General features: G+C 33.4%; 1 long non-coding RNA gene across 1 annotated transcript in view, besides 1 other annotated feature; it reads left to right on the forward strand.

Moving 5' to 3' along the window:
• LOC107986770 (uncharacterized) overlaps positions 1-25,190 on the forward strand; it is a 407,223-nt gene that overhangs the window by 244,257 nt on the left and 137,776 nt on the right. The window lies entirely within an intron of this gene.
• Positions 21,039-21,239: a silencer, noted in NCBI's record as "peak6396 fragment used in MPRA reporter construct". NCBI's record gives its function as "represses an SCP1 promoter by STARR-seq MPRAs in K562 erythroleukemia cells {active_cell/tissue: K562}" and the evidence as "EXISTENCE:reporter gene assay evidence [ECO:0000049][PMID:32103011]".

The raw sequence follows: 25,190 nt of genomic DNA on the forward strand, positions 1-25,190 counted from the left end.
TAGAAAACTAGGGCATGAGAGATCATGTATATATGAGACAGAGAGAGAGAAAGAGAGAGAGAGAGACCTAGCTGACACCTAGCAATAACCACCAGAAATTGCCAAAACACAAACTCATGAGCTAATAAATTGTTATTTGAAGCTATTACATCTTAATGGTTTGTAATGTAGCAATAAACAATTGATACAGGGACATTAGAGTATACGAGCTAGAAAAATAAATTATAATGAGCTGTGTTAATTACTGCCCCATCTCAGTCCTGGACTCATCCAAATATCCTATCATATAAAGAACAAATTTCAGTGCTTTCAGTTTAATTTGAATGAAATAAAAAAGAGAAGAATGAAAAGAATATAGTTAATATATACAATACAAATACACAGATTAAACACTGAAGCTTTTTATTTTATATTTGTAAATACTCGAGAGAGCTCAGACAAAACCATTACACACAATGATCTTCACATTCATCAGTACAAACTAACACACTCAGGGATAGGAGCCACTCACTCCCCAGAAACTCCTGCATCAGTTGGCATTTCAGTACAATCCACTACAAGAAGTGGTTTGTTTAATACTACCGTGGATAAATAACAGCCAATTTCCCCTTGGAAAGGAGCTCAACCCACTTTCAAGCCCAATAACATGAACAACCATATCCTACAACTTCATATTTGCATCTCTTTGTTGGGGCAACTCCTAATACCAATTTCTATATTAGGTCCATTCAGCAAACAGAAACCATACCAGTTATTTGAAAAGAGAAAACTTAATATAAATAATCGTTAACTGGTTATCTGAAAGCCTAAAATGAGATCTCTAAAGTATCATAATTGTAGCAATTACAAAGAATAGTTAACAAATATGGAGTTGAAAGGATAGATAAATTATATTTAAGTTATTAAAGTTTATAGGAAAGGACCCTAAGAAGCCAAGACTAAAACCTCTGATGAAGAGGTCCTGCACAGCTAATGTTGGTGTCTCCAATCTTGGAATCTTATAAGCCTGGAATCCTGACTTCTAAAAATAGGACACCAAGTTAGTTAGTGTTGGTCTCTCTAGGAGTGAGACAAAATGAAACTGATTATGCAAGGGTTGGAAAAATGGCAAACCAGATGTAGCTGCTGGTGTAAGAAGAAATTTTTCCTGCTTGGGTAAAGAAACATTGCTGCAGTGACTCAATGTTACAAGCAGATAAGGAGCTCACAGGATGCCGCAAAAACAGGAACAAGAAAGTCCCTCTTCTTCCTCCAGGCTTGTAGTCTTTCTCTAGAGCATCTTTTGGGAAGAGCCAGTTATTGAGGCAGGTAGCAGGGCAGAAATGTGTTTTGCAGATATCTAATTTCAATATCACAAAACAGAGTCTAGAAGAGGGAGTATAGAGATGAAGACAATACCTTACTAAGCTGAATACAACCCAGAGAATAAGAAAGAAACAGATTAGTGTAGGTAAGACAAATCTGAGAGTTTAGGTCCCATATTAGAGAGGATTTAGTGGTGCAACCCTTTTGGTTTAGGGTGAAACCCTCTACTGCAACAACATCAATGACAAAAGATTATTTCCAGCAGGCACTGTAGCCCAGTTTAGAATCATCTTGTTCTATAGAATGGCATTAAATCGTTTTCAGATTGCAACAGCCCAAAGTATTAATAGAGAACAAATAGAAATTGTGTCTGTAATAAGGTAATATCATCATTGGCATTTAATTATTTCTACAACAATTTTTGAAGAAAATACTTTTCAAAACATAAATATTAATCAGGGTATGACTGAGCACTGGCAGGAAGAATATAAAATATATGACTCAACAAGACAAACCACACAATTTTTTTAAATGGCATATATACTATAAATAAAAACATGTAAGAGTGATTAACATCATTAATTATCAAGCAAATGCCAATTAAAACTGCAGTTGAATACCACAATATATCCACAGGGATGAATAAAAATAAAGACTGTAGACACCAACTGTTGGTGATGATATGAAGCAACTAGGATTTTCATATAAACATTTGTGGGAATGCAAAATGATACAAACTCTCCTGAAAAAGGCTTGGTAATTTCTTATAAACCAAAGCACATGATTCCAAGTCTAGGAATTTACCCAAGAAAAATGAAAACATGTGCACAGAAAAACATGAGACAAATGTTCACACAAATTTTTTTCATAATTTCCAAAACCTTAATTATATCAAGGTATCTGTCAATAGGAGAGCAGATTAACTAATATACACCTATGCAATGGACTACTACTCAGTAATAAAAAGGAAGACACTACTGATATATGTAAAAACATGTATGAAACTCAAAAACTTTGAGTGATATAAGCCTTCTAACACAAAATACACATACTATATGGCTCTATTTTTATACAGTTCCAAAAAAGCTACAACAAATGTATTATGAATAAAAACAAAATATGATTTTAGATTTAAAATGGGGTCAGAGATTGATTTGGAAGGGTCATGAATGCACTCTGGGGAGATGACAGTGTTACGTATCTTGATATGGGCTTAAGTCATGTGGGACACTTTTTAAAAAAATCTCAAAATCTAATTTATTATGTTAGAGTCTTATCAAAAAGAATATAAAATCTATAAATATTGAACTATAGTTAATCTTATGTGTGTCAAAAATATAATGGAGTAGAATATTGATATTTTCAACTTTATAATTGATAGTAAATAAGCTATGGGCATAAGAGGAATGTATAAAACGATAGATATGTGATAGTAATCAAGTAAACATATTAAAATGTTAATAGTGAAATATAGGTAGCGTGTATATGCATATTTACTGTAACAATCTTTTAACATGGCCTGTGCTGAAAACTTTATTTTTAGTTTTTTATTTATTTACTTTTTGAGACAGGGTCTCACTCTGTTGCCCAGGCTGGAGTACAGTGGTGCAATCTTGGCTCACTGCAACCTCCGCCTCCCAGGTTCAAGCGATTCTCCCACCTCAGCCTCCCAAGTAGCTGGGACTACAGGCATTCGCCACCATGACCAGCTAATTTTTTTATATTTTTTTTGGTAGAGACAGGGTTTCATCATTTTGGTCAAGCTGGTCTCCAACACCTGACCTCAAGTAATCTGTCCACCTCAGCCTCCCAAAGTGCTGGCATTACAGGCATGAGCCACCACACCAAGCCCCGAAAACTTTGCATAACAAGAACTGTAGAAAAAAAGAATACTATGCACAGCAGGAGACCAGTCACCACGAACACTAACTAGAAGAACAAGCGAGTAATAAACACAGGCCAACAAGATTTTAAGATGGGAGTTAGTCAAAAACTGGAAAATTTATTCTTAAAATATTTAAAGAGATAAGCAAGACTGATAATTTTATTAGAGAACTGGAAATTATTTTTTGAGAAGACCTTAGCATGTTTGAAAGAAAACCAAACATACATTCAAGAAATAAAATTGAAATAAGAACTCAGAAAATGGATTCAATGGCAGATTTAAATTCCCTGAAGGGAAAGTTGATGTGCTGCACAATATATCAGAAGAAAACTCTGAATTTAGCATAGCAATAAAATGAATAGGAAATACAGAAAACAATCAGAGAAAAAAGTAAGCTTTCATGTGTATAATTGGTGTTTCAAACTAAGAGGAGACATCTGAGCAAAAACAATTGTTAAAAAAATACATGGCTGGAAAATTTCCAAAGTAGATGAAAGACATCAAACCACACCTGCAAGGAAATCTTTAAGCCCCAAACAGAGTAAATGCAAAGAAAACCACACTTAAGCACATCTTACCACAACTACTGAAAATACAATGACAAAGGACATGTAAAAAGTAATGAAAGGAAAACAAGGAAAATTGCCTTCATAAAAGATTTGACTTCTCAACAATATAACCTGAAAATTATCCTTAATTAAGTTTTAAAAAGCCAACAGAAAATAGACACCCAGAGTTATTTCTAAAAGTAGAAAAAATTACCCCCAAAATATAACTAAATGTTATATTTTGAATATTCCTTGAGAAAGGAATGCGGTGTAATGAGGATGTTAATTGTAATCATAAATATGAATAAATACTGGCTTTATCAAGCAATAATAGTAATATAATCAAAATTAGTAGCCCCAACATAAGTAATAAGTCAAAGGAAATAAACGGATTATAATGTTCTAGGATCTCTTACTGTCAGAAAAGAGGCAAATGTACCAATTAACACAGTTAACAAGAGACATTTATATGTCAGTGACACATATTGTAATTCCAGAGTAAACATACAAAGACCATCAAAAGTTCTTAAGTAGCAAACAGAGAATATTGAGAATAATAAAATCATCAAATAAAATGAGGCTAGAAAAAAATGGAAAAGAAATAAAAACAAAGCAGAAACTCCAGAAATAGTGTACTAAGATATATATTTAAAGAAAAGTTATCAGTATTTATATTACGTGAGTGAGTTAAAATGTCCAATTAAAATGAAGCATTATCACACTGAAAAAATGTATACATTGTTTAGAAAGGAAATAAACAAAATATTCAAACACATAAAAGTAGGAAACTCTCTGGAAAAAAAAATACACCATATAAAAAAGTAAACAAAACAGGGCTTGTAGCTATACTAATATTCAACAAAGTGAACTTTAAGCTAAAAAGATTTCCAAAGATAAAAATTAATATTTTACAATAACAAATATCAATTAATTCAGGATGTTAAATTAATTACTCTTAAAATATATAAAACAAGTAAAAAGATACATGCTTGTTGGTCAGAGTCTAGAAAATTTCAATTTGATAGAAGGAATAAGTTCAAGAGATGTGCTGTGCAAGATGTTGACTATAGTAAATAACAATGTATTGTATTCTTGAAAATCTTTAAGAGAGAAAAAATACATATCAAAGAGTTACATAAATGTATAATTATACCAGGAGATTTTTCCCACATTTCTGTCAGTATAACTGACTGACACAGAAAACAGTAAGGCTGTAAAAAATTTGAACATCATTGAATACATGGATCATAAAGCTATATAGAATACTCAGCTAACATGTAGAGAAAACACATGCTTCCTAATGGACATGGAACATTACCAAATGCTGGCCCATAAAGAAAATCTCAACAAATTTTATATGATTTAAATTGTGTTCTTTGACGTCAGAGGAATTAAGTTAGAAATCAGTAACAAAAAGAAAACTAGAAATTAAAAATTAAGCAACATACTTCTAAGTAATCTAAATCTAAAAAATATGTCCAGTATTATCATTGGAAAAATGCAAATTATATTTGTAATGAGATACCACCACACCCCATCAGAATTGCTGAAGTTAAAGATTGACAATATTTAATTTGAAGGCGACGTGCAGTAACTGGAATTTTCATACATACTGTTAGGAGTGTAAATGAGTGTAATGTTGGTCCTCTGTTTGGCAGTAAGCACTAAAGCTCAAAATACATGGCTTTTCACTCAACGATTCTAATTCTGGGTATAGAAGACTGCATAAGTGCACCAAAAAAGATAGACAAGAATGTACACTATAGCATTGTTCATAATAGCAAAATTTAAAACAAAATTATATATCCCTATGACTACATAGTGTACTTATAGAAAGGAAACTGAGCAAATGATAACTATACACAAAATGTGGATGAATCTTACAAACATAAAGTTGAGCAAGATATTTCAGACACAACAGAGTATACGATATCGGATCTCATTTATATTAATATAAAGTTCAAACACAGTGAAAACTTGACTATAGTTGTAGAAGTCACGATAGGAATTACACTGTGAGTGAAGCGGAGGGATTAAGATGGAATGTAGGGACTGGGAGATAGTATGGAGAGAGAGACTTCTGGAGTACTAGATATGCTCTATTTTCTGATTTGAGTGATTGTTACGTGGCCTTGTTCACCGTATGAAACTTCATCTATGTGACAGTCTTTATGTACCTATGTTTACTTATGTTATACCTAATTTAAATAGTTTTCTTTTTTAAAAAAGTCAAGTTGAGGAGAAAATAGTGGAACATGAGAACAACAGTGGATATATACATCCTGCCAAAAAATTAAATTAAACCATGCGGTAAAGTTCTCTGCCCTCCAGCCAGCCCTTTACCTGTAATATGCAGGCCATCTAAATGTAGCTGAACAACATTGGCATACTCAAAAGTACTGAAATGAACAGTATATCCAGAAAGCCAGGGAATCGGGATAAAAAAGTGGCATAGTCTGAGACATAATGTCTTTGTGACTAATGGTGACAGCAGTGGATATCAGAAAGAGATAGTAGCATTGTTCTCCAAATTAACAGCTTGGCCTTGTTTAGGACTTACTCTATCAGCAGAGAATAGGTTGGACTTAGACCATAGTTTAGGGCAATAAAGACCAAAAAAAAACAAACAAACAAGGCAGCAGTTGTTACCTTATGTGTTTGTATTCTTATGTCATCATTATGTCCCTAACACATAAAATTTTGATGAAAATAATCTTTCAACAAATGTTTGCTCATTTGAGTTGTTTATAATTAACAGAAATAACAGTTCTTACTAGAATTTGGGGGCCCTTGGTAGTTGATGTATTCAATCAACTAGTTGATGTATTCCATCTTAGAAGAGGAAAATCAAGTTGTCCAAACAAGACTCCACTGATTGACAACCCTGTCCCTTGGAGGATCACTAAATTTAACAACAATCTACACAAAACAAAAGCACCTTTATAAAAAACAAAAATTAGGTGAGCACTCACAGTACTTGGCTTTAACTTTATATCACTGAAAAAGGCACTGAAGAGGATAGGAAAGATAGCCCTGAATTGCCTACAGTACCGTTCTCCCATCCCCAGGCAGTGGCTACATGGTGCTGACAGAGAATCTCTGTGCCTGAGACAGGGAGAGTGCAATAATTGTGAGATTCTGCACTGAACTCAGTGCTGTCCTATCACAAGCAAAACCAAGCTGAATTCAGCTAATGCCTACCCACAGAGGGAGCATTTAGTCCAGACCTATCTAATATGTCTGGCAACAGACTTTTCAGTGGAAACTTTATAAGTCAGGAGAGAGTGGCATCACATATTTATTGTGCTGAAGGAAAAAACCTTTTACCAATGAATAGCATATCTGATTAAAGTAATCCTTCACACATGAAGGAGAAATAAAGACTTTCACAGACAAACAAGAGCTGAGGGATTTTATCAACACCAAACCTGTCCTACAAGAAATGCTAAAGGGAATACTTCAATCAGAAAGAAAAAAAAAAAAAGGTTAATGAGCAATAAGAAATAATCTGTAGGTTCAAAACTCCCTGGTAATAGTAAGTACACAGAAAAACACAGAATATTATAACACTGTAACTGTGGTGAGTAAACTACTCTTATCTTAGATAGAAAGACTAAAAGATGAACCAATACAAAATAAATAACTACAACAACTTTTCAAGACGTGGAAAGTAAAACGAGATATAAATAGAAATTATAAAAAGTTAAAACGCAGGAGGAAGAAGTTCAGTTGTCAAGTTTCTGTTAGCTTTCTTTTTGCTGGTTTGCTTATGCAAACAGTGTTAAGTTGTTATCAGCTGAAATAGTGAGTTATAACATAGTATTTGAAAGCCTCATGATAACCTCAAATCAAAAATTATACAACAAATATACAAAGAACAAAAAACAAGAAATTAAATCATACCACCAGAGAAAGTCACCTTCAATAAAAAAGAAGACAAGAAGAAAGAGAACACCTCAAAACAACCAGGAAACAAATAACAAAATGGCAGAAATCCTCAATTATCAATAATAACACTGAATGTAAATGAACTAAACTCTCCAATCAAATTACATTTAGTGGTTGAATGATTCCAAAAAATAAGACCTAATGATCTGTTTCCAACAAGAAAAACACTTCACTTATAAAGACACATGTAGACTGAAAATACAGAGATGAAGATATTCCATGCCAAAGGAAACCAAGACAAAGCAGAAGTAGCTGTACTTATATCAGAAAACATAAATTTCAAGATAAAAACCATAAGAAGAGACAAAAAAGGTCATTATATAATGATAAAGGGGTCAATTTAGCAAGAGGATATAACAATTGTAAATATATATATGCACCCAACACTGGAGCACCAAATATATGAAGCAAATATTATTAGAGCTAAAGATAAAGATAAATCCCTATACAATAATAGCTGGAGACTTCAACACACCACTTTCAGAATTGGAAAGGTTTTCCAGACAGAATATCAAAACAGAAACATCAGTCTTAATCTGCACTGTAGACAAAATGGACCTAATAGATATTTACAGAACATTTTATCCAATGACTACAGAAGACATTCTTTTCCTCAGCACATGGATTATTCCCAATAACAGATCATATGTTAGGTTACAAAACAAATCTTACAACATTCAATAAAATTGAAATAATATCAAGCATCTTCTCTGACAACAATGGAATAAAACTAAAAGTCAATAACAAGAAGAATTTTGGGAACTATACACATACATGGAAATTAAACAATATGCTCCTGACTGACCAGTCAATGAAGAAATTAAGAAGGGAATTGAAATTGTCTTGAAACAAATGATAAATGGAAACACAACATACCAAAACCTATGGGATACAGCAAAAGCAGTACTAACAGGAAAGTTTACAGTTATAAGCACCTACATCAAAAAAGAAATATTTATGCAAAATCCTCAACAAAATACTAGCAAACCAAAATCAACGACACGTTAAAAAATTATTCATCCTGAACAAGTGGGATTTATCCCAGGCATGCAAGAATAGCTCAACATACACAAATCAATGTGATAGAGCATATCAACACAATGAAGAACAAAATCCATATGATGATTTCAACTGACGCAGAAAATTCAGTATTCCTTCATGACAAAAAAAAAGAAGAAAAACCCTAAAAACCCTTGGTGTAGAAAGAACATACTTCAACATAATAAAAGCCACATGCAACAGACCCATAGCTAGTATCATACTGAATGAGAAAAATCTGAAGCCTGTCTTCTAAGATCTGGAACATGACAAGTATGCCCACTTTTATCACTGTTATTCAACATAGCAGTGGAAGTCTCAGCTAGAGCAATCAGACTTAAAAAAGAAATAAGGGACATTCGAGCTGGAAAGGACGAAATCAAATTATCCTTGTTTGCAGAGGTTATGATCTTGTATTTGGAAAAATCCTATGACACCACCTAGCAATTGTTGAAACTGATAAACAAATTCAGTAAAATTGCAGGATATAAAATCAACATAAATCAGTAGCATTTCTCAATGCCAATAGCAAACAATCTGAAAAAGAAATCAATAAAATAATCCCATTTACAATAGCTATGGATAAAATAAAATACCTAGGAATTAACTGAACCAAAGACATGAAAGATCTCCACAATAAAAAGTATAAAACATTGATGCAAAAAATTGAAGAGGACACAAAAAAGGAAAGATATTCCATGTTCATGGATTGGAATAATTAATATTATTTAAATGTCCATATGACCCAAAGCAATCTACAGATTCAATACAATTCCTACAAAAAACTAATTACATTCTTCACAGAAATAAAAAAATTCTAAAATTTATATAGAGACCCAGAATAGCCAAGACTATCCTAAGCAAAAAGAATAAAACTAGAGGAGTCACATACGTAACTTCAAATTATTCTGCAGAGCTACAATATCAAAAAAGGCCTGGTAATGCCATAAAAATAGACACACAGATGAGGGGAAAAGAATAGAGAACCCAGAAATAAATTCATACATCTAAGGTGGACTCATTTTTGACAAAAGTGCCAAGAACATACATTGGGGAAAGGACAGTTTCTTCAACAAATGGGAAAACTGCATATCCATATGCCGAAGAATGAAACTAGACCCCTATCTCTCACCATATGTAAAAATCAAATGATAATGGATTAGAGACTTAAATCTAAGGCTGAAAACTATGAAACTACTGAAAGAAAACATTGGGGAAACTCTCCAGGACATTGGACTGGCCTTGTAGAGTATTCTTGAGTAATACTTTACAAGCACAGGCAACCAAAACCAAAATGGAAAAAATGGGAGCACATGAAGTTTAAAAAAAACTTCGTATGGCAAAGGAAACAATCAACAAAGTGAAGAGACAACCCACAGAATGGGAGGAAATATTTGCAAACTACCTATGTGGCAAAGGATTAATAGCCAGAATATATAAGGAGTTTAAACAACTGTATAGGAAAAAAATCTAATAATCCAATTCTAATTAATAAATGGGTAAAAGATCTGAATAGACATTTCTCAAAAGAAGACATACAATTGGCAAACAAGTACATGACAAGGTATTCAACATCACTGGTCATCAGAGAGATGCAAATTACAACTACAGTGAAATATCATATTATCCCATTTAAAATGTCTTTTATCCAAAAGACAGGCAGTAACAAATGTTGACAAGGATGTAGAGAAAAGAGAACCCTAGTACACTGTTGGTGGGAATGTAAATTAGTATAACTATGGAGAGGAATTTAGAGGTTCCTCAAAAAACTAAGAATAGAACTACCATATGATCCAGCAATCCCATGGCTGAATATATACCCAAAAGAAAGGAAATCAGAATATTAAAGAGGTATCTGCACTCTCATATATATTGCAGCACTATTCAAAATAGCCAAGATTTGAAGTCAACCTGCGTGTTCATCAACAGAAGAATGGATAAAGAAAATGTGGCACTTATACACAATGGAGTACTACTCAGCCATAGAAGGAATAAGATCATGTCATTTGCAACAACATGGATGGAACTGGAGGTCATCATGTTAATTCAGGCACAGAAAGACAAACTTTGCATGTTCTTGCTTATTTGTGGGAGCTAAACATTAAACTCATGGAGACAGAGAGTAGAAGGATGTTTGCCAGAGGCTGTGAGGTGGGTAGGGAAGAAGGTGGGGACCGTTAACAAGTGAAAAAAAAAATAGAAAGAATGGATATGACCTAGTATTTGCTAGCACAACAGGGTGACTATAGTCAAAAATAATTTAATTGTACATTTAAAAATAACTGAAAGAGTATAACTAGATTGTTGGTAACACAAAGGATAAATGTTTGAGGTGATGAATATCCCCATTTACCCTAATGTGATTATTAAACATGCCTGTATCAAAATATCTCATATAACCCGTAAATATATACACCTATTATGTACCCAGAAAAATTAAAAATTAAAAAAAAGTTTAGATAGACAGTTATCCTTCTTGGTAGCAGAGAGTCTAACAAAGTGTTTAATTGATTTGATGATGTGGTACATTTTGCATTGCACATATACACACCTATGAAGAGATTGTAAGCATTCAATTACCTGTAGAAAAACTAATGTTATTCTCTATACGTTTAGAGACAACTGCTTTTCATTTAAAACCATTGATTAAATCTTTTGCAATTACCTAGCTTTATTCTAGAGGTTTCTTAGGCTGACATTTAAAAACTTTTCTGCCATTATTGTCCTATCAGCAACAAAGCAGCTTTGAACCAATACGTTCTATGATAGTCACAATTGTCTATCGTCTGTTCCCTGTCAATGCTGTTGTTTCCCTGGCAGTATCTGCTACTGCAAAAGCCTTCCCATCTACTTCCTTCTTATCTACCAAGGCCCACATGTGCTTCCAGAATTTGTCTCCATCCTTGCAGTCCTAGGTCACATTTTGCCTGCTCTAAGAAGTTTCCTCACTCCTCCAGCCTCTACTCCTCCCCACCTAACACAATCATAATTGATCCCTTACTTCCAGACTTTCCTCTAGGATCTTAAGTGGCACATTATTGTTAAACATTTTTCATAGCCCTCCTATCGTTTACCTATGTTTGTGGTTATCTGCCTTTCTAAATTGTGAGACGCTAAGTCCTTGTCTTAGTTAATTTTGAGTTTCCCTCTGCATCAGAGCACGTTTTATGTGTGCCATAAAATTTGGTCTAATGTCTTTGGCTTAGCTTGTTTGAACTTCTTATAGTTCCAAACACATATTTTGGATTACTCCGGGAAGTATAATGCCTTATACCTATATCTGCCATAAATATCTCCATTCAATTTTCCCCCCATTTCTTCACTGGACAACGTTCACAGTTGGCCAGGAGCCCAACTACTGAGAGATCTTCTTTACCAACATATGGCTGAACTGAATGATTGCGCTGGACTTGAGTATGCTCATTTAAGTCTAATGAGGTCCATAGAGGTGACTGTATGACTCATAACATGAAGTCATTTTTCCAATTAGCATTCTGACAAATGCATTAGAAAGAGAGCCCTTTCAATAGATTTCCACAGCTGCTGAAGGGATCAGGTGTCAGAAGATTTTCAGCTTTGTTCGGCTGTTCTGGTCAAATAACTTATTTTTACCCAGACTTTGCCACTTGATGCAGCTGGCAGTGATCATATGTCATCTGAGCCTGAGCCCAGTTTAAAAATGGTCCTGTTACAGTGATAGAACTTAAGAAATTTCAGGAGGGATCAGCTGTAACTTTTGATTGACTCATTAGTCTTTTTTAAAAATGAGGTTATTTCCAGATAGTATAATACAAAAAAAATTTTTAAAAACAACCCCATTCATGAGGATTAGCACTTGGTATAGAACATGTATTTCCAAGCATAATAAAAAGGACTACAGACCCTGATATTACCCTACAATAACACCTAATTCAACTTTGGCCTTCCACCACCTTTGTATTCAAAGTCAACACATAACATCTCATTTGCATACAAAGAAGAAAGGATTTTAAAATCAACAGCCCTTCTCCAAGCCAATCAACTGCACTGATTTATAGGGATTCTCTTTTGAGTGAGTCACTGAGGTACTGGCCTCCATTCAACAATATTTGATATTCAAGAATGTATGTTAGTATCTTAGAGAAACTTGGATTATGTACATTTAAAAATAAAGATAATCCTTAGATGGAAGTTTTCTAAACAATTAGGACATTCTAGATTATCTGCAGAAGTTCGGATATCATCTCTCAAGAAATTGGATGTTGCTCTATTTGTTACAGGACTATTAAAATGTATTTATTTTATCTTGAATGACAAGTATAATTACAAAATTAAAATGGAGTCTTTTTTAATAATAGGAATTTTTGACTATGATATTATAGTTGGAAAATTAAACTTCACTCAGTATCAGAGATAATTTTGTAAAGCATTTAGTAGAGTGCCTGACAGTTAATACATACAATAGAAAGAAACTACTGTTATTATGTTATGATTTGTTACTGTTAAAATAAGTTTTCTAAGTAATTCGAATATAAATTACAAAACAAGTCAACATTGTTTTCTTCCTCTCTTTTAGTTCATCAAAGTGAAGTTCTTATGTTTTCCAGAATATTTTTAGCAACTTTGCTATTTACTGTGTTTTTCTCATTCATGTCAGGAACTTCATATTTATGTTATTTTTAGGTTTATTTTGAAGTATTTTGATATTTTAATTTTTTAAACTTAATTCTACTTAAATTGACAAACAAAACTGCATTTATTTATCACATACAACATGATGTTTTGACATATATACACATTATGAAATGGCTAAATCAAGCTGATTAGTATATGCATTACCTTATTACTTAGCATTTTTGTCAGGAGAACACTTAAAATCTACTCTCTTAGCATTTGTAAAGAAGGCAGTATATTGTTATTAACTATAGTCACCATGGTTGTACAATAGATCTCTTGAACTTATTCCTCCTATCCGACTGAAATTTTGTATCTTTTGACCAGCATTTTCCCAAGCCCAACTCAGCAACCCCTGCCCCTCAGCCCCTGATAACCACCATTCTACTCTCTACATCTATGAATTCAATTTTTTTAGATTCCATGCATAAATAAGATGGTGCAGTATTTGTCTTGTTATGCCTGGCTTATTTCACTTAGCAGTATCTGCCAGGTTCATCCATGTTGAAGCAAATGACAAGACTGCATTTTGTTTTAGCCTGAATAACATTGTATTGTGTATACATACCACATTTTCTTTACTCATCCATCCATCAATGGACACTTAGGTTGATTCCATATCTCAGCTATTGTTAATAATGCTATAATTAACATGAGTGCAGATATCTTTTAAAAATATTTAATTCATTTCCTTCAGGTATATATCCAGTAGTAGGATTGCTAGATCATATGGTTGTTCTACTTTTCAATTTTTTGGAGAACTCCCATATTCAGTTGATTTTAAGTAGCGTTCAGTATTTTCATGAACCTGTATGGGTTGCTTTACAAGAACATTCTCCCAAAAGAAAAAAAAAATTTAATCTTTTTAAATTTTTAAACTTTTAAAAATTCAAGCTAACTAAATTTTATTTATTATTTCACTCACAAAAATACATGGCTCATTCATAAAACTTTAGAGAGAATTATGACTGCATTTTATATTCTAAAAGAAGTAAATTCAAAAATTATGGTAATTTTATTGGCATGACAGATAAGAATAAATACAAAAGATGGGTAAATAACTTTTTAAAAGATGTGATACTCAAAAACCAGAAAACTTATTTCCTTGAGTATAATTCAACAAGAAAATGGCTTCCAGTACTCTTTTTCAGGATAAAAATCTCCACATTAAATTTAACCCCATCACCGGTAATATCATTTAGACATTTGTTTTCAGGCATTTCTGTTCCTTAGTTTGATTTTGTTTTGTCACTAAAATCACATTTCTAAATATTTAATGCATTTTACCTGCCTGAATCATGTTCCCTTTTCTCAGGATTTACAGCAGAGTGCTATAGATATTTATTAATTTTTCAAAGAATACCTATGTGTGGGAAAGAAAAATCAAATTAATCAGTATATTTCTCATAAAATGATGTGTGTTCTCTAGAATTAAATATGGGATTGAAACTTAAGACTACTGTTCCTATGAATATCAAAATACTCCAATCTGCTACCATTTTGCCTCCCCCAGAATAAAACATTTTAATCAATTATAATGTTTAAAAATCTGTTTATGAATAATTTTAGGATGATTATTTATCTGGCCCTATTATGCATAAGAAAATGAGTAAGTCTACTGGGAACAGAAAAGAGGAAATGGAATAAATATGAAGCAAAAATAATTTGTTTTAAAGAAAGGATAAGGCAAAATTTGATCTCTATGTTTCAAAAGTTCATTCAGCACAGACTTCATTTAATTTTAAAAATACAAAAATGTGGTTGTCACACTTCAATTCGCATTTAAGACAAATGGTTATTCACATCAAAATACATAATGATGAGCTGAAAGTGAATTTTCTTTTGCCTCTTATGGAATCTAAACTGTTTCAGGTACAACAGAATACCTATGAAGCTATACTGACAATGTTGAAACATTTTTCTGATGACAATATCAGCTACATTGAGGCCCACTTCAATGTACTATGGCCCTCCTACCACCTCCAGCCCATGTCTGCTTGTTTAAATAAAGCTTTATTGGGAAACAGCCACATCCACTCCATTATGTATTATATATCGCTGTTTTCTTGCTACAAAAGAAAAGTTAAGTAGTTACAACAGAAACCGTATAGCCTACAGAGTTGAAAATATTTACTGTCTGGCTCTTTACAGAAAAAGTTTGTTGACCTCCTGAAATATATCTTCAATTTGCCTAATTGCCTTGTTTTACAGCTATTATAATCTTTTAAAGTTAATTAGACCTAATACTTAAAGGACTATGGTTACAAATGTAAAAACTTTGTCTACTTTTGTAGGCACCCATGTGAATAGCTAATTCATTCATACCATCTAAGACAAGTGGGAAAATTTTGTTACAAGAAAAGTTAAAAATGGGAAGACATTGTCTACTATGATTCTTACTTTATGAGAAAACTTCCTAGTACCTTCCTGTACTAAAGATAATAATGGAATATAAGTTTGGAAATATTTGAAAGATTATCTAGTTTCCTTCTAGTTATTCTATACCAGATATGCACATATGTATTTTATTCTTTTCATTGGTATTTACTCTTCAAGAATGCTAGGTTTTAAACAAATTTGTACACAATTAAGTTAAACATTTTTGAAGTGTGAATGCTTTGGATGGTGAGGTAAATACTTGGATAAAGACAGTGCCTAGAGGAAAACAAACTGAAGTAATAAGCTTCCGGGTCTCTCTGTGACCCAAAATAGACATATAGAAATTTGCCCTTGCCTAGGTCTTAAAAGAAAAATGTACACGGCTTGCTTTTTACTAAAGACATATAAAGCACAAAATATAACTTCAGGCCTGCGAGCATTAATCATCTGGAAGATTTTTTAGAGTGAAGTTACTAGTTACTTCAGATATTATTTGAAATGAGAACAGCAAGGCCTCTGGGAAACTGTTATATTGAGGATTTTAATCTTTATGAGAAAGGGGGAAAAAAGGTAATTTTTTCCCCAAAAGTGGTGAGTTTAGAGCGTTAGTGAAAAAAAAAAATAGATTAGTGAAGTACCAGAAAAGATAACTCAATTTGGCCTGTTTAAAAACAAAACAAAAGAAAATACAATCATACTTTTAATTCTGCCTAGAACCCAGATCTCATTACTTGGGGGAAAATGAAGCTAATTCAGCTGATGTGTTATCACGGGACCCCCATGGTCCATACAGTCAGCGTCCCCAGGCAATGCTCAGAGTCTCTTCAATCCAGCAGCCACTTTGAACTTCCAGGAAAACACCGAAGCTATAAAAATTTTTGTACCTACATCCCTGAGCCACATTTAGTAAGCTTCCTTCCACTACTGAGGAAAAAGCTTGCTCACCCTCTTTGCCTCAATGCCTTCATCCCAGTCTCCTACGTCCGTAGCCAAACACATGACCCTCACTCACTGAAGAAGTATGGTAATTTTGTTTTTGTCTAAGGCAGAGGGAGTAGGGAACAGGAGGGCATTTATCTTTGCTCTGGGCCCGTTTTTACTGGTCACAACATATTGTTTCTTATTTTCCTAATGAATGTAAGTTGATTAATATTCATATTGGCTTGCATAGCAAACTATAATTGTATAAAGAAACTGAATAGTAATTATTCTACCTATAACCAAAAAGAATAACAAACTGTCTAGTTTTGTGTTCCAAGAGTACTGTCCTAATTTGTGGTCTTCCTCAAACAGAATTGGCAAGATATCAGGAATAAAAGTTCACAAATGCCTCCCTACCTATTTAACCCTTCTTTAAGTCTTTAGCCCTGACTGAAAAACTTAATTTTAGATCAAGGTCCTGAGCCTATCAGGACCACATTTACAAGGAATAAAAAAGTAATGTACAATCTCACTTTCGATGAGCAGTAAATGCCCCAGAAATACCTTATTAATGCTTCCTAAGTACAAGCCACATTAAATCAGATATGAGATAAATGGGCCAGGTGCAGTGGCTCACACCTACAGTGCCAACACTTTGGGAGGCTGAGGTGGGCAGATCACCTGAGGTCAGGAGTTCAAGACCAGCCTGACCAACATGGTGAAACCCCATCTCTACTTAAAAAAAAAAAAAAAAGAAAGAAAGAAATACAAAACTTAGCCGGGCATGGTGGCACACGCCTGTAGTCCCAGCTACTTGGGAGGCTGAGACAGGAGAATTGCTTGAACCTGGGAGGTGGAGGTTGCAGTGAGCCGAGATCATGTCACTGCACTCCAGCATGGGCGACCGAGCCAGATTCTGTCTCAAAAAAAAAAAAAAAAAAAAAAAGAGAGATAAATGGTTTAGTGAGAACCTATAAAAAAGAGGGGTTTTAGAAAGTTCATAGTAACCCATCTGAATGATAGGACTGCAGAAAATCACGTTATAATGCAACGATGCTCTTAATTATAATGAGGTAGCTAGAAAATGAAGCTGATATTATACTTGATATCATAATGCACATTTAAAATATCCCATTTACATATTTCTGATAACACATTTAGAAACTAATATAACAAAATAGAGCAAGTGTAGTGAACAATGATGTGGCAAGTATAGTGGATAATGAAGAAAATATTAAAAAGAATTCTATGTCAGGAAAGTTCGAAAAAACGGGGAATATTTAGCCTGATCAATAAAACATTTATAGGGGATGCAAAAGTTGTTTTTAAACTCCTAAAAGTATGTGTTTGAAAAAGGGATTAAATTTATTTTTTGAGACTCCAAGTGAAAGAACAAGATTCATTGCATAAAAGTTTCAGATTATTTTGCAGCATAAGAAAATACATTTACTTATAATTAGGGATGTTCAAAATAGGGGCTGGGTGTCCCAGTAGAGTTTGAGAAGTAGTTTCACGAGTTAGATGGATTTCAAGATTACCTAGACTTGCCCGTTTATCTCAAAAGTTATTCTTCAATCTGATAGAATAGACAAACATGTTCAAAATGAGCAATGCAAAATATTAAAATATAAATCTCAAGACTCCTAGTGTGAATGTTATGTTTGTTAATTCCATACAAAACAGGGATTGAAAAAAAGATGAGTAAATTTCTTTATATGAACCAGTTCAACTGAAAAATATGAACTGAACACTGCAATGTTGTAAATTAGATTGGATAATAAGAATGTATTTATTTTCACTAGCAGTATATATGCATTTAAAAAATAATAACTTTCTGTCAAAACAGAGTAACTTTTACATAGCTTTATGATAGATAGCACTTTCACACACACACACACACACACACACACACACACACACACACACACACACAAAAACCTATCTCTGGGAACCTAAAACAACAAATGTGCTTTAATTAGCCACAAAGCCACTCCTTTATATTTCATGTAGAAAAAATGATACCTCCATCAGATATAAAAACAAAAACTAAGAAGAAAATAATTTTAAAAGAACAATTGATTAGAGAAACAAATATCTACTCTGCTCAGGAAGTTACTAAATGAAAGCCAGGGAAGCTTAGGTCCTTTCATTTTGCTCAACATGTGGTGTAGACACTTCCTCCCCATCACCTCAATCCCATCTACAGCATTACATTAGACCAGGCAGCAAGACTAGAATTATTGAGTGGTTTCGTGTTTGAGATTCTGGTTGTTTCACTAAATGCCTTTTTAATGAATACCTTAATGCACTTCTTAATCTATAGTTTCTCCATTTTTCTTTATTTTTCTCCCTAGAGATTAATATTTAGGTAAAAAGTAATACAATTCTTTTTAACTGCCAGGTTTCATTTGTAGTTCTTTTATTTATCTATTACTCTTTTAAAATAACTATTCTTGGATTATTAAAGCAAGATTCTTAGAGTCAACATTCCTGTACAATGATGACTTATTAGAGGAAGCAATTGCATACAAATATACTACCACATTAAAGCAGGTATGAATTTTGAAATGGGTTTTACTTATGTCAGGAATACAATGCAAATGCAAATATTCCCCTGTGTAAAATAACAGCAAATGAAAGGAAATGAACATAAACTACTGATTCAACTGATTTCAATCAATGCTAGTAAGGATGTAGAAATAGATGGTTTAGAAATTTTCAAGAAGGTTACAGATACTAATCCACTTCTTGAGTTATTTAATATGTCTTCAATAGAATCACATGCTGATGGATCTTTATTTATATCCAATAATTAATGTCTTGCTTACATATTTTATTCATTCACTAATTGTGAAAAAAGTTAGAACACTAGCAAAATAATTTTTAAACCTCTCATTTTTATTTCATTGCTGTCTTCTGCTTTATTTCTACAGCCCTCCTCTCACTTATTAAAAATTGAAGTTGACATCTGAAAATTAGTGGAATAACATACTTTTGACAAATTTATTTAATAGATGATTGTGTTCTTTAAAAAATCCATCTATACTACATTTTTTACAATCACAGTATTAATAAGAAAAGATAATTTATTTGGGGTGGTATAATTATTATTGATTTACTTTCACTTTTAAATATACTTTCAGTGTAACACAGTGCTCTAGTGCTACTACTTTATCAGGTTTACAGTCATTTTTGCAAAATGATTTTGATCTTAGTACTGTTCAAATAAAGTGGATTGATAATCAATGAAATAAAATTCTATACAAATTGTTTTGATCTATATACATTGGTTTAAGTAGTTTTCCTAATGGCACATGCTCAAGGAGAATATTCTAAAGCCCATGTTTCATTTTTCAAAACTGTACATTATGAAAGTAAAAGAGACTGTGATATATTTATGTTGTGCATAACTTCATACTGAGTTGTAAATATTGCTTGCATCTGGCTTCAGAATTCCTTACTTAATTATATTAGATACATTCTTAATGATGTATACCCAGTTATGAATGCCACAAACACTGAAAGATATTAAAAAAAGTTTTCCTTATCTAGTAAGTATTGGCAGATGTGTTTTTGCAAATGTGACCAAATTAAACCAGAATAATATTTAAACAATTGAAGATGATGAGAGGATAGGAAAATTATTTCTACCACTTGAAAATTTGACTGCATTTGCTTAACATATTTGAGTAATTGACAATTTAAGATTTGTATACATTTTCCTATTTCTGGGAGCATTCATTAAAATATGGCTTCATTTTTCAGTGGGACGTAGTTTACTTTTCTTACAACATGTTCCAAATCACAATTGTATATTACTACCTGGGCTCCACTAACTTCAAATTTACCTTACTTTCACCAAATATAGGTAGTGGGATAAACTTCTAAAATATTACTAGAAATGCTTTCCCTCTTGCATTTTATTTATCTCTAAAAATGCAGTTTATGTCAGTGTTATAGGGCCCTGTACAAAGGAAATGAAGAGATCTGAGTGGGCTGGAATCTGGTCCCTACCCTACTCACCAAGCCACTCACCAATCCTCTGCTGTGGCCGCAATGACTGGGAGGAAGGGAATTTTTCCTTGCTAAAAGCTAAGGAATACCACTAATATTTATTCATATATATGACTACATGAACTTTTAAATTAATTCTAAGTAACAATTGGCTATTAAAAATTAAGCAGCAAATGCACAGACCTTATTTTCTCAGAATAATAAAAGTTTTCACTTTTGGTAATGTATTTATTCATCTAAATGATAGATACTATGATGTTTAAAAAATGAAATAAATATAATAGTGGCCTTCCATTTCCTGACATATATAACTAAAACTATTAAGAAATTAAAACCTTCACTGTATTAAAAAAAAAAAAAAAAAGCTAGTGTCCCATTGCCAAGCATTGCACATAGAAGGCCAGTCTACCCAGATGTTGTGTGGTTTCTACTGCATCCACCCAGAGGTGATGTCTTTTTCTGAGTCACACAAGTTTGAAGTATAGATCATGGTTATCACAGACTCCTCCAGTGATTCAGCATAGTGCACAGACAAAGGAAAAGAAGGAAGGCACACAGAAATCCAGAGAGAAGTAAGAAGTCAAATTATTTGATTTTGGATTCAAAAACAATCTTTGAAAGTCAAGAAAGATACTAAAGCTTTGAGAGGAAATGCTTTGATTTACAGGAAACTAGTTCTTTTGAGTTTCAAAAGGCTGAGACCTGAAAGATATAAAAAGAGATAGAAAACAGTAGATGGAAAGCTGAACTTACCCAGAAAAGAGGTAAATGTTCTCATGTTGGGAGAGAAGGGACTATTTGAAGGGAAGAATAAAACCTAGACAATGGCAGGGCCTTGATAAGAGACCTCTAATTTTCTCTTCCCTCCAGGCTCAAGTTTTCAGAGAGGATAGAAAATGGAATCCTCAAATATTTGGAATCCTAAAAAAGAATGAAACTTGTTTTTTGACTTCCAGAACAAGTCTAGGGTTCATGACAAGCCTTACAGAGTTCCCAGGACTCAAATGGAGTACAACAGCTATAGAGTTGACATGGGGATAATGTACCTCATCAGAGATGGATAGAAATAGAACACGCTGCTTTCCTGTAGCTCCCAAACAGCTCTGCAGACTATGAAAAAAAAAAAAAATTTGTGGCTCTGAGAAAGAAATCAAAAGGGAACAAAGAGATCTGGTGACATGAAGAGGTTGGGTAGACTAAGGAAAAGGTAGTAACCTACAGGGACCTAATAAATGGATCCCAGGCCAACGGATGCAAATAGCTCCAGCAATTCTAGCTAAGGTAACTCAGCAGGTGCTTCTCTGAACTACTACCTGGGCTCTCTTTCAGGTAAGAAAAATGGGGGTGGACATAGGCAAACCTGTTTGATGGAAAAAACTCTACATTGATAAAAACATTTCCTCTACTTGGGCTTGTATGATCTTAATTTGGTTATGGATTTCAATAAAGACAGTTGCATTTTCTATATGGCCATGTTTATAGCCTATGAAAATTCATAGTGTATATCACATTATGTTTAAATGGCCATTAAAGTATGATTGCATTTTCAAAGTTCCATTTATTTACAATTTTGGGGGGACTTGGTTGTCACCACAGTTTACTCATTCATGATTGCAATTTGAAGGACCTTATGAATTACCCAGAGATATCTTTGCATCTAAGGTGAGAAAAATGATTTGAGACAGATGAAGTAACTTGCTCCATATGTGACTGAGCAGGGTCACAATTTAAACCTCTAGACTTTTCCCCAGTAATGCTTTTTCTAGGTTTGTTTTTCCACTCTCCCATGTACAGTAGTAGAGACCCATCTTAAGTTTCTATCAAATATTCCTACCTTAAAGTAACTATCAAGTAAACGCATTGACAAAACTAAATCATTTGCCTGAAAACTAGAGTCATTGTTTTATTAATATCAAATTAACACAAAGGAATTAACCCATATTAATTTATATGTGGATATAATTACATGAATATTTATCTGTATACTATGGATGTGTGAGCAGGAAATAGGTTTTGCAGGTTCAGAAATATTTATGCCTGTTGATCAACTTTAGAAATATTTCTTTAAGGCTAGGTATTGGTTAAAAAGCAAATGATTCTAATCTTCGATAAATTACACTGTCACAGCAAATAGACCCAGATAAAGGAACTAAATTTAGTTATCACGGTGTCCCAATGTGTGAAATGAAACATGGCCTTAGGTATCATCACTGCATATTTTAGAAAACATAATCTTTTTTCCTGAATGTATTTGCGTAGTAAAATCATTTAATTATAATGTGTGAATGTGTATATAAAGACTTCAGTGAGAACACAAAGTCTCTCAGAAATTTCACTTAGAATAAGATTGTAGATAAAATACGAGGCATTTTTATGCCGGGTGTGAAAAAGCTGACTAAAATATTTACGTATTAATATCTCATTGCAAAGATCACTGTTAGCTCATTGGCCTTAAATTATTCACTAAGTTCAATGGTTATTATTTTTGGCTGCTGCAGTCAGACCTTATAAATACATTTCTAAGGTCACACACTCTACTTTTCATCTAAATCTTTCTCCACCTTTCCTCTTTTAAAAGTGAACATTAAATGAAATTACCTGACATTCAACCTTAGTGAGTCAAACACTTTTTTCAACCGCAAATGAAACTACAAGGATATTATTTTTTATATTATTTAAGAGTGATGCAGAAGCCAGGAAATATGGGATTTTAGTATCAACTTTAATAAATGTTATTTTTTTAAATGGCAAGCACAACAGTACATCTCTTGTTTAAGAACAAAAATTATCATATCAAAATAATTTCCAACTTTATTTTTGTTAATACATTAGCCATAGTTATCTTAAATAGATCATTTATCCTTCTTGTTAGCATCTTTGCACAATAGATATTTTTAAGAATTTTGCCTATGTGTTTTATCACATATTGACTTAGTTATGGCATGTAGTAGTCTGAAAAGTAGGAATCTCAAATCACTGTGGGGCTGGAAGGACCTTTTTATTTTTTACCACTCAAATTTCACTTTGCTTTGAATTCAAACACAGTAAAGGATACATTTTCTCATAGTGGGGGTGCAAGGACCTGCTGAGAACAGCCTGATTCAGATCAAAGAGTCAATGTAGAATTTAGACACAAGTGTACCTTTTGTTAAGAATAAGTTTGGGAACCCAGAAGATGCAACTACACTCTTGACCTGTGGTTGATCTTGTGAAGTCAGTTCCCATTATGCGTCGGTCGGGTTGCCTGTGATGTCAAGTAACCACACATTACCAACCACAAGTACCAGTGAACTATATTTCATTCTATATAATGTACAACATACTTTTCAACTCTTGGTATTTTGGGCATTCTCTCTGAGTCAAATGCTGTGTCATTTTCCTCTGCTTCCCCATGCCTCTCAATGTTTCTGCCTGATTGTGATGCACTTTCTTTCATGTCTAACTATCCAATTCATATCAAAACATGAATTTATAAGACAAATATTTGTGAAAGTCAACTAGGGAGTAAGCATTGTATTAACAATGCTTCTAAAGTCTCTCTGACCTAGAACTCGGCCCCCAGGCTTCCAGAAATGTCTATCTGGTTCAACACCATTTCTCTTCTGAATGCATAGCTCTGCTGTACTGCTTCCAGCCAGACCTCACACTGACCTCTTCCCCTGTGTTCTCAACTCCCCATGGCCATTCTGTCAAACTTTTTTCTTGGCGCATGAATGTCCTTTCCATTTCCTCTTCAGTTCTCTAAGGAACACTATGACTCTGGCTGCCAAATGGATAGGATGCTTTTTAAGGCACAGCTTTGAAAAAATGGCCACTTGGTGAATGACAATAACCAAATCTTAAAAGAAAATTCATTAGCGTGTTCTTGGGAAGCTTGGAGGACAGCTACGTCTACGTCTATGCAAGGTAATAGTAGCAGATCACCTGGAAGCAAAACAGGATTTTGATTGTTATTAAAAAAAATTAAAGCTGATCATCAAGATATGGTTCCCACTAGGAAAACAAATGTATTATGAAGGAAAGAGCAATAGATGAAGAGATGGAGAGACAAGTCTCCATTAAATCTGAAACTCTAACTATAGGGTGACAAGAGGAAGAGCATGGGTGTTTGTTCATAGTTATGGAGTACCTACTATATGCTAGGCTCTGTGTTGTGTCCTAGAGATACAGAATGAACAGTCAGAAAATGTAACCTTGAGTATAAGCAAATGTTTCTTTGAGTACTTGACCTTGAAGCTAAAATTCTGTCAATACACAGATACTTTGAAAAGCACTGCAGTGAATGGAGTGATGTTCTCTATCAGTAGATCTTTCACCTAGTCATTGATGGCATGGGTGGAGTATCCCTCAATAATATCTATCTGCATTCACTCTGATTTCATGATCACCAAACAACCACATAATTACTAATTATCTTCCAAGGTATCATAAAACTGGAAAGCAGACACTTTAGCTACAAAAAAATCCTAGATACTGAAATTAAATATTTATATAGTCAG

This window comes from Homo sapiens, chromosome 7, assembly GCF_000001405.40.
Source record: "Homo sapiens chromosome 7, GRCh38.p14 Primary Assembly".
Taxonomy (NCBI): Eukaryota; Metazoa; Chordata; class Mammalia; order Primates; family Hominidae; genus Homo; species Homo sapiens.